We start from the raw sequence: 14363 nt of genomic DNA on the forward strand, positions 1-14363 counted from the left end.
TATTCTGTCCTGCGACTGCAGCTGCAGCGGCTGTGGCCTCCCCAGACTCAGTTCTGTCTCCTCAACTCAGAGACTCCTCTGGGCGCCGTTTGGGTTTCCTTTCCCTTTGCTGCAGCTTGGAGTCTTTCTCAGGGCAGTAAGCTGGAGTCTGCATGTGTTTCCCAACTCTCAGGGTCACTGCCCTTATGGCCTGAAGTCTCTTCTAAGCGCTTTCGTATATTTTGGCTAATTTTAGTTGTTCAGGTGGGAGGATAAATCATCTGTCCTTGATACTTTATTTTGGCCAGGAGCCAAAGTTCCCTTCATTCTTTTTTATTGAAGACACATTTTGTCAAATATGTAAGCACGAGCTCTGGTGCCTGTGAGTGCATGGATGAATCCAGCATGAAGTACAGAAACACTGTTGCTTATCACACCCTCCTTTAGAGCTGTACTCCTTGTTGCCATTCCTTTCTTGGACCTGTTTTTAAGGTTTTAGACAACACTCTATTCAATGTGTATTGTATTCTTTCTCCCCTTGTGTTATGGGAAGCTTCATGGAGTTTGCCACTGGGTTAGGGAGAGGTATGAATAGACTGAGGCAAGATTCTCCTCAAGGGACCTTTGGCAGGTCAGGAAAGTGAAGACAGTGGATGATGAGTGCTCCACCTACCTTCTCCTTTTGCTCCGGGAATGACTTAAGTCTGGAAAGAGCCGATACTAAGAAGTTGAGGGTCTGGATTGGTACATCATAGTAAACAGGAAGAAATGACCATGAGGCTAAGGTCAGAGTGGTGCCACTGACCCAGTTGAAGGCAGTTTAAACAGCCAGCCTCTAGTTCTTCAGGCTCTCCTAGGCCTCCCTGCACAACTGACCATTGGTTTCAGTGGCCCAAGCAGGGAAACTGGCAGTGACCCTCGAGCAGCAAGGAGGGGAGAGGACCCTCAGTCCAAGGACAGAGGAGATGGACTGTGTGAGTTGCCGGAAAGCTCATTTTGAATTCTTTGGGGGCCAAACTTTTCTATCCTAAACTCTTATTTTTTTTTTTTTCCAAATTAGGAAAATAGTATATGACAATTGTAGAAAATTGGGCTATAATCTAGAGGTAATATTTGGTAGCATTTCTCCCCTCCTCCTCAATGCATTCATTTAAACTAAGTACTAATATGAACTATTTCAAGTATATTATTGAAGACACTTGTACCCATGGTATTTTGTCTATAGATTGGGGCTCGACGAGGTCAACTGTCAGGATTCCTGGGTGTTGATGACATGAAGCTTTGGAAAGATCTAATAGTTTCTTTTAGATCCTGGAGGAAATAGTGATCTTATTTGCATTTATTGTTTGAGTAAGATCACCATGTTCGTTATTTGTCATGTGGTGCTTTTTGGTGGGGGTTTGTCAGACATGTATTTTGTCCTCCTTGTGGGTCATTCAGGCAAGCATCAGTCTCCCAAAGTTGTTGATGGGCAACTGATGTAGAAGAAAATAGAATGAACTATATTCACCATCTGAAGTCCTCCCCACCCCCATCCATCCAGGTGAATGGTGTCATTGTGTAGTTGTCTTCTATATCACATTATTTTTAGATACCAGCTGAGTAGTGCAGTCTCATTGAAAGATTCAGCAGGTGGCACTTTGTAGAAGATGGAGGGGATCCAGAGGGCGCGCTGGGGGCTTTGCTGTGTGTAGTAAAAGTTCTATGTTGTGCTTTCCATGGAGAAGAGGGCGGGTCCAGGGCTTCAGGCCATTGCATGCTGGGTTTGGAATCCCAGAACTAGCTCATTGGTTCAGTAGCAGAACTAGAAAGAGGATGCGTTGCGTTTTTGTTTGAAATGTGCTGAAGACAGTGTTTTTTTATTGAGCAGGCTGTTGTTAAATTTGTAATTTTTCCGTCAGTTTTTATTGAGACTGATTGATCTTGGGGGGTGCGGATTAATTTTAAGGAACATGTAATTTCTTCCTTTTGATCAGATCCTATAGCCTTAATTTTGTTCTGGAATCTTTCCTGTGTAGTTATATTCATCTGTGTTTAGTTGACTAGTTAGTGAATTTAAGTTGTAATGTGATGTGCCTATTTGAGGCCAAAAAATAAAAAATAAATTTGATTAATTCTGTGCTGGTTTCATTGGTGTGGTACTGAATGATACTCTTAGATGTAGTGGGATTTACCAGGTAAAAAGTAGTCAGTTCTCATTTTTCTACCCGTTCACAGTCACATAAAGAAAAGGTTCAGTAGTAGTTGACAAAAACTTGTAAACTGTTTTTTAAAAACAGATATTTTCATTCTAAATGTATATTCATTTGTACATTTTGGTGCCGAAGTCTTCCAGAGATATTTGTATATCTCATTTTATCCGTCCTCTCTCCAACTAACAAAGATAGAGTTAACAGTCAGTCGCCTTTTTCTTTTATCCAGCTGTCGCCGAGTCTCCATTTAATTCTGTAAAGAGGGTATGCCAGGTGAAAGGCTTCATTTCACCTGGCAAATGCTCAGAACATTTTCCAGTCCTCTTGGATTCCAGTTAGCTTATCTGAAGTCTGCCCATCTCTCCTCACCACATAGTTACTACCATTGATGGAATGGGAAAAAATTTAGGTAACAAGTTTGAACAGCATTTTAAGGGGTCATTAAAAAACAAACAACAAAACACTCATACCATGCACTCCTGTGTGCTCAGATGGTGGAGTGGGCAGGGCTTGTCATATGACAAACCCATCGCTACCTGTGAAAATTACTACTATGCAGATGTTCTCCACCCCCACCCTCTGACAGCCTGCAAGGCAACTAAAAACTCATCTCCTAGTCAGGTCCTGGCCTGAGACAAAGGCCTTTTCTGTGAGGATTTGCTTCCACTGGTTAAAGTCCAAAATGCTAATTGGCATCAGCTGCATTAAATCACTAAGTGGGGGCTAGCAGCTGCCACACCATTTGAGTAACCAGGAGGGGGACCTTTTTTTCCTTACTAAAAAGGCCTCTCTCTCCTCTTCAAGTTACTCTTGATTTTGTTTTTCATTTGTTTATACTTGTGACCTGCTAAAGAAGGGCATGGAGGACACAGTAGTTTGGACTCTGCCTGGACACATGGAATATATAAACTTCCTCTATGTAGTTTTGCCAACTCAACTTTCTTTTTGTATATGGGATTTGTTGTTGTTACTAAACTTCAGTTTTAGCTGGCCCCTAGTCTGTTTTCTGCTGTATCTTCCCAGGCCACATGAAGTGTTTGTTTTTGGTGGTGCTAGTGGTGGTGGTGGTATGTGTGTATGTACTTAAGTGCTGGGATGCAACCACCAAACATATGTTTAATAACCAAAGGGAGACTGAAACTCAGAAGTTGATTCATTATTACCCTACTCTAAAGACAACATAAAATACTGTATAATAAGCATTAGTCATAATTAGATTTCCAGTTGTAGCTGGCTCAAAGCCATGGCAGATTCTGTATTTCTAGTGTTTTTTCCTTCAAGTGGGCACTCATAATTGGACAGTAAATGACAATTAGTGGTGCTAACTGCCTTTTTATTTTATAAGATGTGTAATAGTCGTCTATTTTAAAATCATAAAATCAAGAGAGGAAATGTTCAAAGTATATATAAACTTTATCCTAAAACAGTAATTTGAGGGGAGAATATAATTTCCTTGCAATATATTTTGTAGTTATTTTTGTATGCTTCCAGGATTTGACTATTTCAGACCTGGGAAATATTCTGGCAGGTGACATTGATGTGATCACTGTATTTCTGGATGATATTTCGGTGTTTCCGTCATATTAGAAAAGCTATTGCCAGACTTGATTATATTTTAGTTGTTCTTCTAAATCATTGATTCTGAGATGCAACTCAGTTTTGAAGATGTTAAGAGTGTGTACTTTATGGTCGACAGTGCTTCATGGTTTCATGACATAAAATAGTGTTGGGCTCCATTCAGGGGCACTTCAGATTCAGTGAAATACATGGTGCCATGGTGATCTGCCAACAGTATTTACCAATGTGCCAATTCGGGAGTTTTCACACCGGTGGACAATATGGAATTTAAGAGTATAAGAACTAAAATGTGTGCTTGATTTTTAACTCAGTGAACTGTGAAAATATCGAGTGCTCTTGACTCTTTCTTGTACAGTGGTGAACAGGTTAGATCCTAGAAGACATTGGTTTGTGTCACTAAAAGAAAAAAATATAAATGGAACCTAGTCGAATTATTTTATAATTCTTAATTATTGCTCAGGAAGCCTTTCATGGGAGAATCATAGGTAGCATTTCTTTCTTTCAAGAAGTGAAAGCTACTGGCAGAGTGTGATAGGGAACAATGACCCTGGAAATAGTTTAGCCACTGCAGGGAGTGGAGGTAGGCAAAGGTAAGGGTGGGATTGATGAAACAAGTCTGGACAGTCCAGTAAAGTTCACTAGTGTATGAAGTTCTTACTACAGGAACAAAATTAAAATAAATATTTTGATTTTCCCCTATTCATTGTTGTTTTGTTTTTGTGTAGTTTTTATACCCCAAATCCTTACAGATTTACTGACTTTTGGATAAAAGGAGAAAAACCATTAGTTCACTTTCTGGTCACCCAGCTGCAGTTCAGTATAAGGAAAGTGGGATGTTTGGCTTTTTAGAGCACATGTTTAATTAACCATGGACCTTATTTTGGGAGTGACACCACATGCCTTTTCAATGGGGCCTGTTTATGGCCACTACCGTGTGCTAAGTCTTTTCAGGAGCCTGCCTGTCTTGACAAGCCTCACTAGGGCTGTCCCAGGCCACTCACTGCTTGGTCAGGAGGCCTCTCAGAAACCCTCAGATACCACTGGGAGTGAGTTGTGGTGAGTCAGGAGGGAGCAGGCTCGATGTGCCCCATGACAGCAAGCCCTGGTCGCTACTGCTCGTTACACTGTGCATGTTGATGTGTGTGTGCAGAGAGCACAAGATAAAACTTTTGAGGCATTAGGTTTCCTACTTTTATTTGGGGGCATGCTTCCTCATGTTTTATGTAGTAAAAATTGTTACCCTTTTCTGTTTTAGAATAAAGTTCCTTTGAAGCAAGGTCTCAAATAGAAGTGTTTTGTTTTACTGGCTAGTCTAAACACTGGTTTTGTTTAGAATTAAGATGGTTATCTAGTATTGAGTACCTAATTTTTCATTGCTGCTTTCAACATGGCCACATTTAAATCTCAGATAGAAATTATACCTATTTGGTAGGACTTTCCTATATGCAGGGTTTGAATGAGAATTATTGTATCAACTGTATTGGGTCATGTGACTGTTGCCGTATTTGTAGTCATCTGTCAAAGTCACATGACAAGTGTTCTTGTAGAATATATAGTTGTGCATCACTTAACCATGAGGATACGTTCTCAGAAATGCATCATTCATTAGGCAGTTTTGCTGTTGTCCATCATCAGAGTGTGTTTATGTAAACCTAGATGGTACACATGGGCTATCTGGTATGGCCTAGTGCTCCTAGGCTGCAGACATGTACAATATGCTACTGTACTGAATAGTGTAGGCAATTGTAAAATAATAGCAAGTAGTTGTGTATCTAAACATAGAAAAGAGATTGTCAAAATATGTTATAAAAGATAAAAAGTGGTATTTCCGCATAGAGCTCTGACCATTAATGGAGCTTACAGGGCTGGAGGTTGCTCTGGGTGAATCAGTGAGTGAGTGGTGAGTGAATGTGAAGGCCTAGGACATTACTGTACACTTCTGTATTCTGTACTGACATTACTGGTATACTTCATAAACATGGTACACTTAGGATACACTAAATTTGTAAAAAATATGCTTTCTTCAATAATTAACTAGGTTACTGTAACTCTTACTTTATAAAACTTTTAGGTTCTTTTGTAATAACAGCTTAAAAAACTGCATAGCTGTACTAAAATATTTTCTTTTTAAATATCTTTGTAAGCTTTTTTCTTTTTTAACTTTTTAAACATTTTGGTAAAAAACGAAGACAGAAACACACACGTTATCTTAGGCCTACACATGGTCAGGCTCATCAGTATCCCTGTCTTCCACTTCCACATCTTGTCCCAGTAGAAGGTCTTCAAGGGCAGTCATGCACAGAGCTGTCATCTCCTATAATAACAATGCCTTCTTAGGGATACCTCTTGAAGGATCTGCCTGAGGCTATTGTAAGTTGACTTTTTTTTGTTTAAATAAATAGGAGTACACTTTAATAAACAATAAAAGTATTGTAAACAAACCACTAACATAGTCATTTATTATTATGTACTATACATAACTATATGTGCAATAATTTTATACAGCTGGCTGTGCGGCAGGTTAGTTTACAGTAGCCTTAACCACAAACAATGTCACTAGGTGATGGGAATTTTTCAGCTTCATTTATAATTTTATGGGTTCACTGTTGTATTTGCAGTCCTTTGTTGACTAAAACGTTATGTAGTGCATGACTGTAGTATAATACTCCAATGTTTATATTTCGGAACCAAGCTGTAAAGCCGCCATCTTGAGAATTACTATTCTAAGATGACTACATGTCTTGTTATACATTTGTTTTCTAAAGCAGTAATGTATAACTGAAGTTCGTATTTTAAAAATTATTTTTCCCATCTGATCTTATCATTTATATCTAATTAATGATGTTGCAGCTTTTATTTTAAAGTATAATATTTGCAAATCAAACTTCCTTTAGGCTTGTAAGGCCTTAAGAGTGGTTCTAGAGGTGCTAGACTGAAGCAGTAAGTAGGTTTCTTCCAAGTTGTGTGTGTGAGTATGTGCGTACACACACGTCTAGGCTACTCAGAGCCCCTACTCTTCCCTGGATAGAGAAGGACATCAGTTGTGAGTGGAATGATTGTGTCAGTGTAGAAAAGTAAGGACATTTTAGGGGACTAGTCATCTTTTCCTTTTGAAAATGTATGCAGTATAGGGGATTCTAGAGATCTGGTCATCAGATTTCTCTTGATCTTACACTGTGCTTTTCTGATCAAGGATGATTTTCCCTTTCCTGCACAGTTTCTCTTCTTTCTCACTTTAACTCTGCTTTCCCCTCATTCTGTACTAACTACAAATCTTCCTTAACCTGACTCTTTGCAGGTAGTATGTCATGTATATATAACAAGGAACAGAATGCCTACCTGGCTGGTGTGCACAGCGTCTTCTCCAGGTTTATATGAGAGAGAGAGGTGGAGATAACAGACTTCTCAGACTTTGTCATTCACAAGGGCAACTTATTTTTATTTTCCAGACTTGTGTCACTATCTGTTTCCTTCATTCCCCACCCTGATCTTCTCACACAAACTCTGGGTTTCTTCCTCTGCTCATCTTATTTCAATAAACCAAGATGCTAGGAGAGGAGCCAAGTCTGAAACCACATTCTCAGTGATGTTTTGTTACTGGGGCCCACTGGACGTAGCTGAACCTCTTTTCGGGTTAGTGGATTCTCGCTGAGCACACCGTCACAGACTACACCTCCAGCCTGCGTTCATGTATTCAGTACTTTGCCTTGGCTTCACTAGAGGGTGCTGTCGTGCAGGGTTGTTAGAGGTAAACGTTTTCTGGACTTAAATGGACCAGATGATCTGTATTTGCAAAGGAAACAGATTTTCCAAGTGATAAGTTCAAATAGTATCAGTCATTTTCCTTTTGTGGTCCCATTTTTACAGCTGAACAAACCGAGGCTCAGAGAAGTGGAGTGCATTGCCCGAGGTCACAGTTAGTGGGAGAGCTGGCCGGGCAGTCCCCTCGCACTATCCCTGCGGCTCTCCGTGTCTGCCTTTACCTCCTATGCATCACGTCCTATAATCACACTTCAAAGGATGAGTCCTCTAAGGTTCCTGTTCTTGGCACAAGGATAAAGTGAATGTATATGTGCCTCTGCTCCTGGAGGATGGAGAACTTGTGTTCCTTTCATTATTGTATGTAGTGTGGGGGAAGTAAAGTCATTCACATCGTTCAGTAGCCACACATTTTATTTTTATTTTTTCATAAGGATGAAGAGGAAGAAATCAAACTGGAGATAAATATGCTAAAGAAATACTCTCATCACAGAAACATTGCAACATATTATGGTGCTTTCATCAAAAAGAGCCCTCCAGGACATGATGACCAACTCTGGGTAGGTGGATGTTTCCTGAGCATTTGTGGGCATTCCATTTGCTTGAATTGTAAGGGCATGGCGGGGGTGGGGGCGGGGGAAAGAGGGGGGGAAGAAAAACAATAAAGAGGGGCAGTAAGTAGCTGGCAGGTTCTAAAGGCTTCCTTGGCTTGTATCTGTGGGTTGACTATATGCTGGTTGTTTATTTTGATGTCGATTTCACATTGCGTGGAAAAAAGTTAACTTTGTGTTTCGGGAATAAAATGGCAGCATCTAGAAGGAATGTAACCAAATAGCAAGGAAATTAGGAGCTTGAAAGCAATACAATAAAAACTTTATTTATGGGAACAAAATTAATTTGAAAGCTCAGTAAATTGAGCTTACCACTTGGAAATGAGAGACAGATCTCAAGAAACAAACTTCTGTCAGTAGCTTATTAATAATATTAATGATAATAGTTAAAACAAATTCCAGGGAAATTTCTGGAATTGACACATTCAACCTTACCTCTTTTTGAACACATTTATATTCAAGATAATGACTTGGAGATACCATCAGATCTGTGGCTATCACATTATTTAAACTTATAAAGCAGGAAGATAGGTTAATACTTTTTGTATCAGTATTTTTAAAAGGCTATTACAGAAAACATTTGCAAAATTAAGTAGAAGGCAAAAAATTTACTGTTACTATTGCCCAAGTCAGATCATAGTTAAAATTTTAGAATAGTTCAATTCAGTTTATTTTCTGGGTACTTTAAACATACCATTGTGATCATATTGTTCAAACTTTTAGATACTGTAAATATTGCATTAAAAATTGTATAACTGCTTAAAAATACCATTTTTTATTCACATTAGACCCAGTTAATATAAAATATAATAGTTTGAGGATCATAATGTGAAAAGTAGAATGTTTTTGAGGTAAAATGAAAAAGAATGTTAGGGAATATTTGAGTCAGATATTTGATAATTGGGTAGTGATGAAGAGCAAAGTGGTCCTCCTGTGCCCATGTGCTTCTGAGAGAGAATGAGCACTTCAGAATTGCTGCACTTGGGTGTGCCGTAGAATACCAGACACTGTCAGTCTTCTGGACCAAATATATGGAGCGAATACACTGGACTATGAAATGAGCTTTCAGTTATTTAGGTGCCTCCAAATTATTATGAATTATTGAGGAGCATCACGTTTCTAGGTCTTTAGAAAAGAGAGGGCATGGCGGTTAAACTGGTTTTCCCAATTTCTCCAAGATATGTTGCTCACCTTGTGTCTTGTCTGCCCTATAGCTTGTTATGGAGTTCTGTGGGGCTGGGTCCATTACAGACCTTGTGAAGAACACCAAAGGGAACACACTCAAAGAAGACTGGATCGCTTACATCTCCAGAGAAATCCTGAGGGTAAGGAAAGTGGGTGGCTACAGTGCTCCAACTCATGATCCTGTGCTTCCGTTTTCATTTTCCCAGCCCCAAGTACTTCTTTGCATTACTTATATCTATATAGATTATTCTCTTTGACAGCCAAGGGTTCTGTATATCTAGCTAGCTTTGATAATTTTAAGCTACATCATGATTTGACTCTGGCAAGTATGTAAAGAAGGTAGACTTAAATAAAAAAAGCATTTCTGAATTTACTTTCCATGGCATCATGACATACCTATTGGCAGCTTTCCTTTGAGTTAAAAGGAAATCAGAGTGGAAGGGAAGAGAAATAATCTCCAACTATTGTTTTTAAAGGAATTCTGTGTTTAAGCTTATAAATCAATACTAATGGTGCTGAATGCTGGTTTTCAAAATCACCTTGAAGTCTTTGGCATTAGCTACTAGAGTCTGTTACAATATTTATGAAGAAAAGTTCGAATGTTTAATATTATTTACAGCCATTTGAAAAGCTGGCTAATGATCTTAGAGTAAGTTTCTGAACTGCTATTTTAGCAGCTTTTAAATGGTTCTTTTGAGTAGTAAAGCCATATTGACAGCACAGGCAGAGGGTTTCTAGGATTTCGTATTTGAGCAGTGCATGTAGGATATTACCAGTGAGTCTCTTCATTTGGCTATCACAGTTTTTCTCTCTACTTCATCCCTGAATTACACACAGACATTACTTGGTTGCATTTCATTTACCTACCACATTTAAAAAAAAAGATTATGAAGTTAAATTGAAGCCCAATTCTTAGGCTTCCCCCACTAATAAAAAAACTTAAAGTAACTAATAAGTTATTTTAATTTTTTTAATAAGTAAAGTTATCCCACTTTTTATATTTAAGATTCATAGAGGATTGCAGGTTTAAAAACTGCCATCTAGACTTCCTAGAGAAATGTTTAATTTTTTTTTATTTAGATATTTATGTAGTCTTTGAAAATAGGCAATTCCCCTAAGAAGACTAGTTGTGAAGGGTGGGGTAGGGTGACAGGAGAACCATCTTTTTATAAACACTTGCAAATGTCATTAAAATGTCAGGATCTTTTATGACTATTATAGAAAGCAGAGCCTAAATGTGGGAAACTAAGCTTCCTGCCCTATACTACTGTAAAGGAAGTCAGGTACTGGGCCAGATGCATTTATTCTATTAATAACTAAAACTGTTTAGCATGGTAGGCAGGATAGAACATTGGTTGAGTGGTTGGAGACTAGCATAAGTCAGACCTGGGTTTGAGTCCTACCTCTGCTGCTTACCTATATAGCACACCCTATGTTATTCAACTTTCAGGACTTACTTTCTCCTCATCTATACATACCAACCCTTTGAAATTACTTTTGTTAGGAGAATTCAATGAGTTAGTGTATATTAATCATCTAATGTAACGTGGATACATAGCTACCTATCAGTAAATATGAATTGTTGTCATTGTTCTTTGTTTTAAACACCCACTCCCTGGCCATACACATCCCCACCCACGCACCCACACCCCTACTTTGCTTGTATGTAATTCCAGTATGTGATATCTCAAGCAGAGAACTAGCTTTTAGCATAATGTCCTAGGCATCAAATGTATTTCAGCCTTCAAAGACATCAAAGACAACTTACATGTGTTTCTATACCCAGGCAAGCATTGTTTACCTATCATATGTAATATGTACCTTTAGCCATTTTACCATCAGTAATCTCCAGTAACATTTAAAAGAAGCCCAAGTTGTTTGACGTCTCTAAGCCAACTTGAGTGTGGTACGTGAATGAACATCTTTTTGAGACGTAGCAAATCTTTTTCACCTCACTGGGCATCTGAAACACAAGCTTCCTTTGCCTACATGTCATCTAGAATGGGAGTTTTTCCTTGTGACAAAAGTTTAAATTAACTAAAAACAAGCAAATGCCTCAGGGAGAGTTCCTGTGTCATGCAGTAAGTAGTGTGTGTTCATTATAGGGGTTACTAAGAGTCGGCTTTGGTAAAGAGAAAGCAGCATGATAAACTGGAGGTAAGGTCTCATGAGAAAGGAATGCAGCCACCCCCAGACAGATAAGCTGTGTTCTCAAAGACAGTTGGGGTTAAACAATTTCTGTGGTGGCAAAACCTTTCCTCATTTCTCACTAGATGTTGGATTTAGACATCTTGATCATTATGATCAGACCCTTCGAATGGGGAGGGTCCTGAGCAGGTAGGCCTCAGCCAATAGAGAAGTGCTTTTTGGAGCCTGCACACTGTTACCCTGTGGACCACAAGGCTTAGCAGCAGGCCAGCGTGTTCTTTTCAGCCCACTTCCATGTTCACATTCCACATGGCAGTATCTTCATATTGAACATGGGAACTGAGAGCTTTCTATAACCAATACTGTATGACAACCTTTGCCTGCTCTTTTATTCTGTGACCATGCATGATACAGAGTTAAGGGAAAAATGTTTCCTAGTTCAGAAACACTGATGCATTTGCTCGAGGATAGGTCCTTCACTGAGTATTTGGACTTGGCATCTCTGCTAAGGAAGGATAATTGTGGCCTAATTTCTGGTGTGGGATTAGCTGAACACACATACACTCCCAGGTACTTCATGGAAGAAAAATGTACTTATTTTTCAGAATAATCATATAACATTGTTTCAGAGCTGCTAGACACACCTTAATTCCCTGTAGAAGCAGTGATCCTGTAGCAGTATAGACAGGAAAACAGGCATTGTTCCATACATTTACTGCTAGTAATGAACAAGAGTGCATGCAAGCCACATTTGTTGGACAAGATGTGGGTGCTTATGTTTGTTGTTAAGATAGTCCTGTAAAAGTTTAAGAAGAGGTTGTGCAAGTTAGAGAGCAAAAATGAACTGAAATAATAGAAATAGGAATTACGAAGAATTGGGAAGTTAGCTTTTGTGTCTCTCCTTTCGCTGTTTGAAGTTATACCAAGCTGAGAGGAGGTGCTTTGTTCCTAACTATAGCAATAAGGTACCATATATTTTTAGTGCTTTTTTCTCTAGTCAGTGCTTTGCGGTATAATACCGCACATCCTGTGTTGTGAAAAATAAACAGAGCTGTCGAATAAGCTCTGCTCTGTTTCATAGACAGACCAGTAAATGAATGTTTTGAAACCCCCTATGTTAGAAAAATTAGTATTCTAGAGGAGCTGTTGTATTTAATTCATATCTTACAAAGTAATGATAACAATAAAACCCCATGAAAAAAGAATAAACAGGAAAAATCAAATAACCCTTACTTATAATCTGCCCTTTTGGATTGAGACATTTTAGAGTAAATAGGTTGCTTGTATCTTAAGGAGGCGAGCTGTATATTTGGCTTCTCTAGCTAAGGACAGAATAAGTAAATGAGTTGTGAGAATGATGCATTGCTGTCTCTTGGACCATATTTGGAGGCAACATGTGTTTTTGTTCTTCCACCACCTCTCGTAAGAGACAAGCTTTTGGGCCTCATTCCAGATACAAGGTCATCAAAAAGTGTTATATGCCCAGTAGGTTTGTTTCCTTGGGAAAGAAAGATACTTTATTTGAACACAAGGCTCTTTTGACAGCACAATCGTTTTATGCTTGGGATGGAGGTGGGATTGATCAGCACTTAGCAGTTTGTCACTGTGCAGTGGGAAGGCTAGCCAGTGTTAAAGAGCCAGATTTCAAAGCCCTCTCTTGCCCTTTGCTTTTCCCCTGAGATGTGTCTAGTTCAAATATGCCCACGGGGTCACCCTCTAGACATTTAGCGTGGGAAAGGAACCACCCTGTACACAAATAGCACAAATTATAGCACAGAAACTGCAGATGGTAATCTGCAGTGTATCTTAAAGGCACAGCTAGAAGTGATCACGTTGCTCACACGGGGAACCTAACCCACTGGGAATGTGGAGGGTGGGGAGGACTTCTTTCTGTGTGTGTGGTAGTATTGGTGCTGTCTTCCTGGGAATGCACTAAGACGAAGTTAATGTTCATGAGCTCACAAACACCTTTGGTCCACATGTGCACTTTCTTATAAAAGGTGTGTTCCTGGCTGTTTACTTATAGTCACAGAAAACTAAAATTCAGGTCTGTCTTTCCTATTCAGGGACTGGCACATCTTCACATTCATCATGTGATTCACCGGGATATCAAGGGCCAGAATGTGTTGCTGACTGAGAATGCAGAGGTGAAACTTGGTATGTAATGGATGTGCGGCGTGATCTCATAATTGCACCTGGCACAAGCCAGCTGCACTCCCAGTTCTGCTTCCATCTAGCTAAAAGTTCAGTCTTACCCATGTTTTCTATTTCTGTTCTTCTTAAGAATGTGGGAACTGAGCATATTACTTAGCTTGGCTCCAGCCTCCCCACTTCCATGTTTGTGCCCCCCTGCCCCCTGGTTCTCTATACAGCAGCCAGACTGATCTTCAAATCAGACCATGCCACTTTCCTGCTTAAAGAACCTTAATGGCTTCCTATTTTACTTTGGATAAAACCTACATTTCTCACCCTTGCCCATAAAAAGCCATGTAGGATCTGACCCGTGCTACTTTTCCCTCCTCATTTTATGTCCCTCTTTACTTCTCTCTTCATCAGTCACTGTCTTTTTTTTCTTTTCTTAAACTTTTTGGGTCTTGCCTTTGGGCCTTTGCATGACTATTTCCCATTGGGAACACTTGACTTCAGTTTTGAAGTCACAGTTTTTTTTCTCATGTTACGGGCCTTTTCCAACCTCTAATCTGTCTTGGGCCTTGCTGCTTGTTTCTTTCATAGTATTGTTCACAATGTATAGTTATGTGATTGTTTTTTACTTCTGTTACTGTCTCCTTTGCCAGAATGTAAATTCTGGGAATGCAGCAAATAGTGTATTACCCAGCATCTAGCATTGTGACTTCATTGTAGTAGGTGCTTGATAAATTTCTGCGTGGTTAGATAATTACAGCCCATGGTG

At 39.3% G+C, this 14363-nt stretch overlaps 1 protein-coding gene across 55 annotated transcripts in view; it reads left to right on the top strand.

The window, feature by feature from the left end:
* Positions 1-14363, top strand: part of MAP4K4 (mitogen-activated protein kinase kinase kinase kinase 4) — a 196984-nt gene that overhangs the window by 118279 nt on the left and 64342 nt on the right. For all 55 annotated transcript variants that reach the window (NR_169279.1, NR_169280.1, NR_169281.1 and 52 more), the window contains 3 exons: positions 7943-8068; positions 9334-9444; positions 13519-13609. Coding sequence is in view for 51 of the 55 variants with exons in the window: in NM_001395002.1 (NP_001381931.1) it covers positions 7943-8068; positions 9334-9444; positions 13519-13609 (328 nt within the window). In the remaining 4 variants the exon portion in view is untranslated. The remainder of the gene's footprint in view (positions 1-7942; positions 8069-9333; positions 9445-13518; positions 13610-14363) is intronic.

This window comes from Homo sapiens, chromosome 2 (assembly GCF_000001405.40).
Source record: "Homo sapiens chromosome 2, GRCh38.p14 Primary Assembly".
Lineage (NCBI taxonomy): Eukaryota > Metazoa > Chordata > Mammalia > Primates > Hominidae > Homo > Homo sapiens.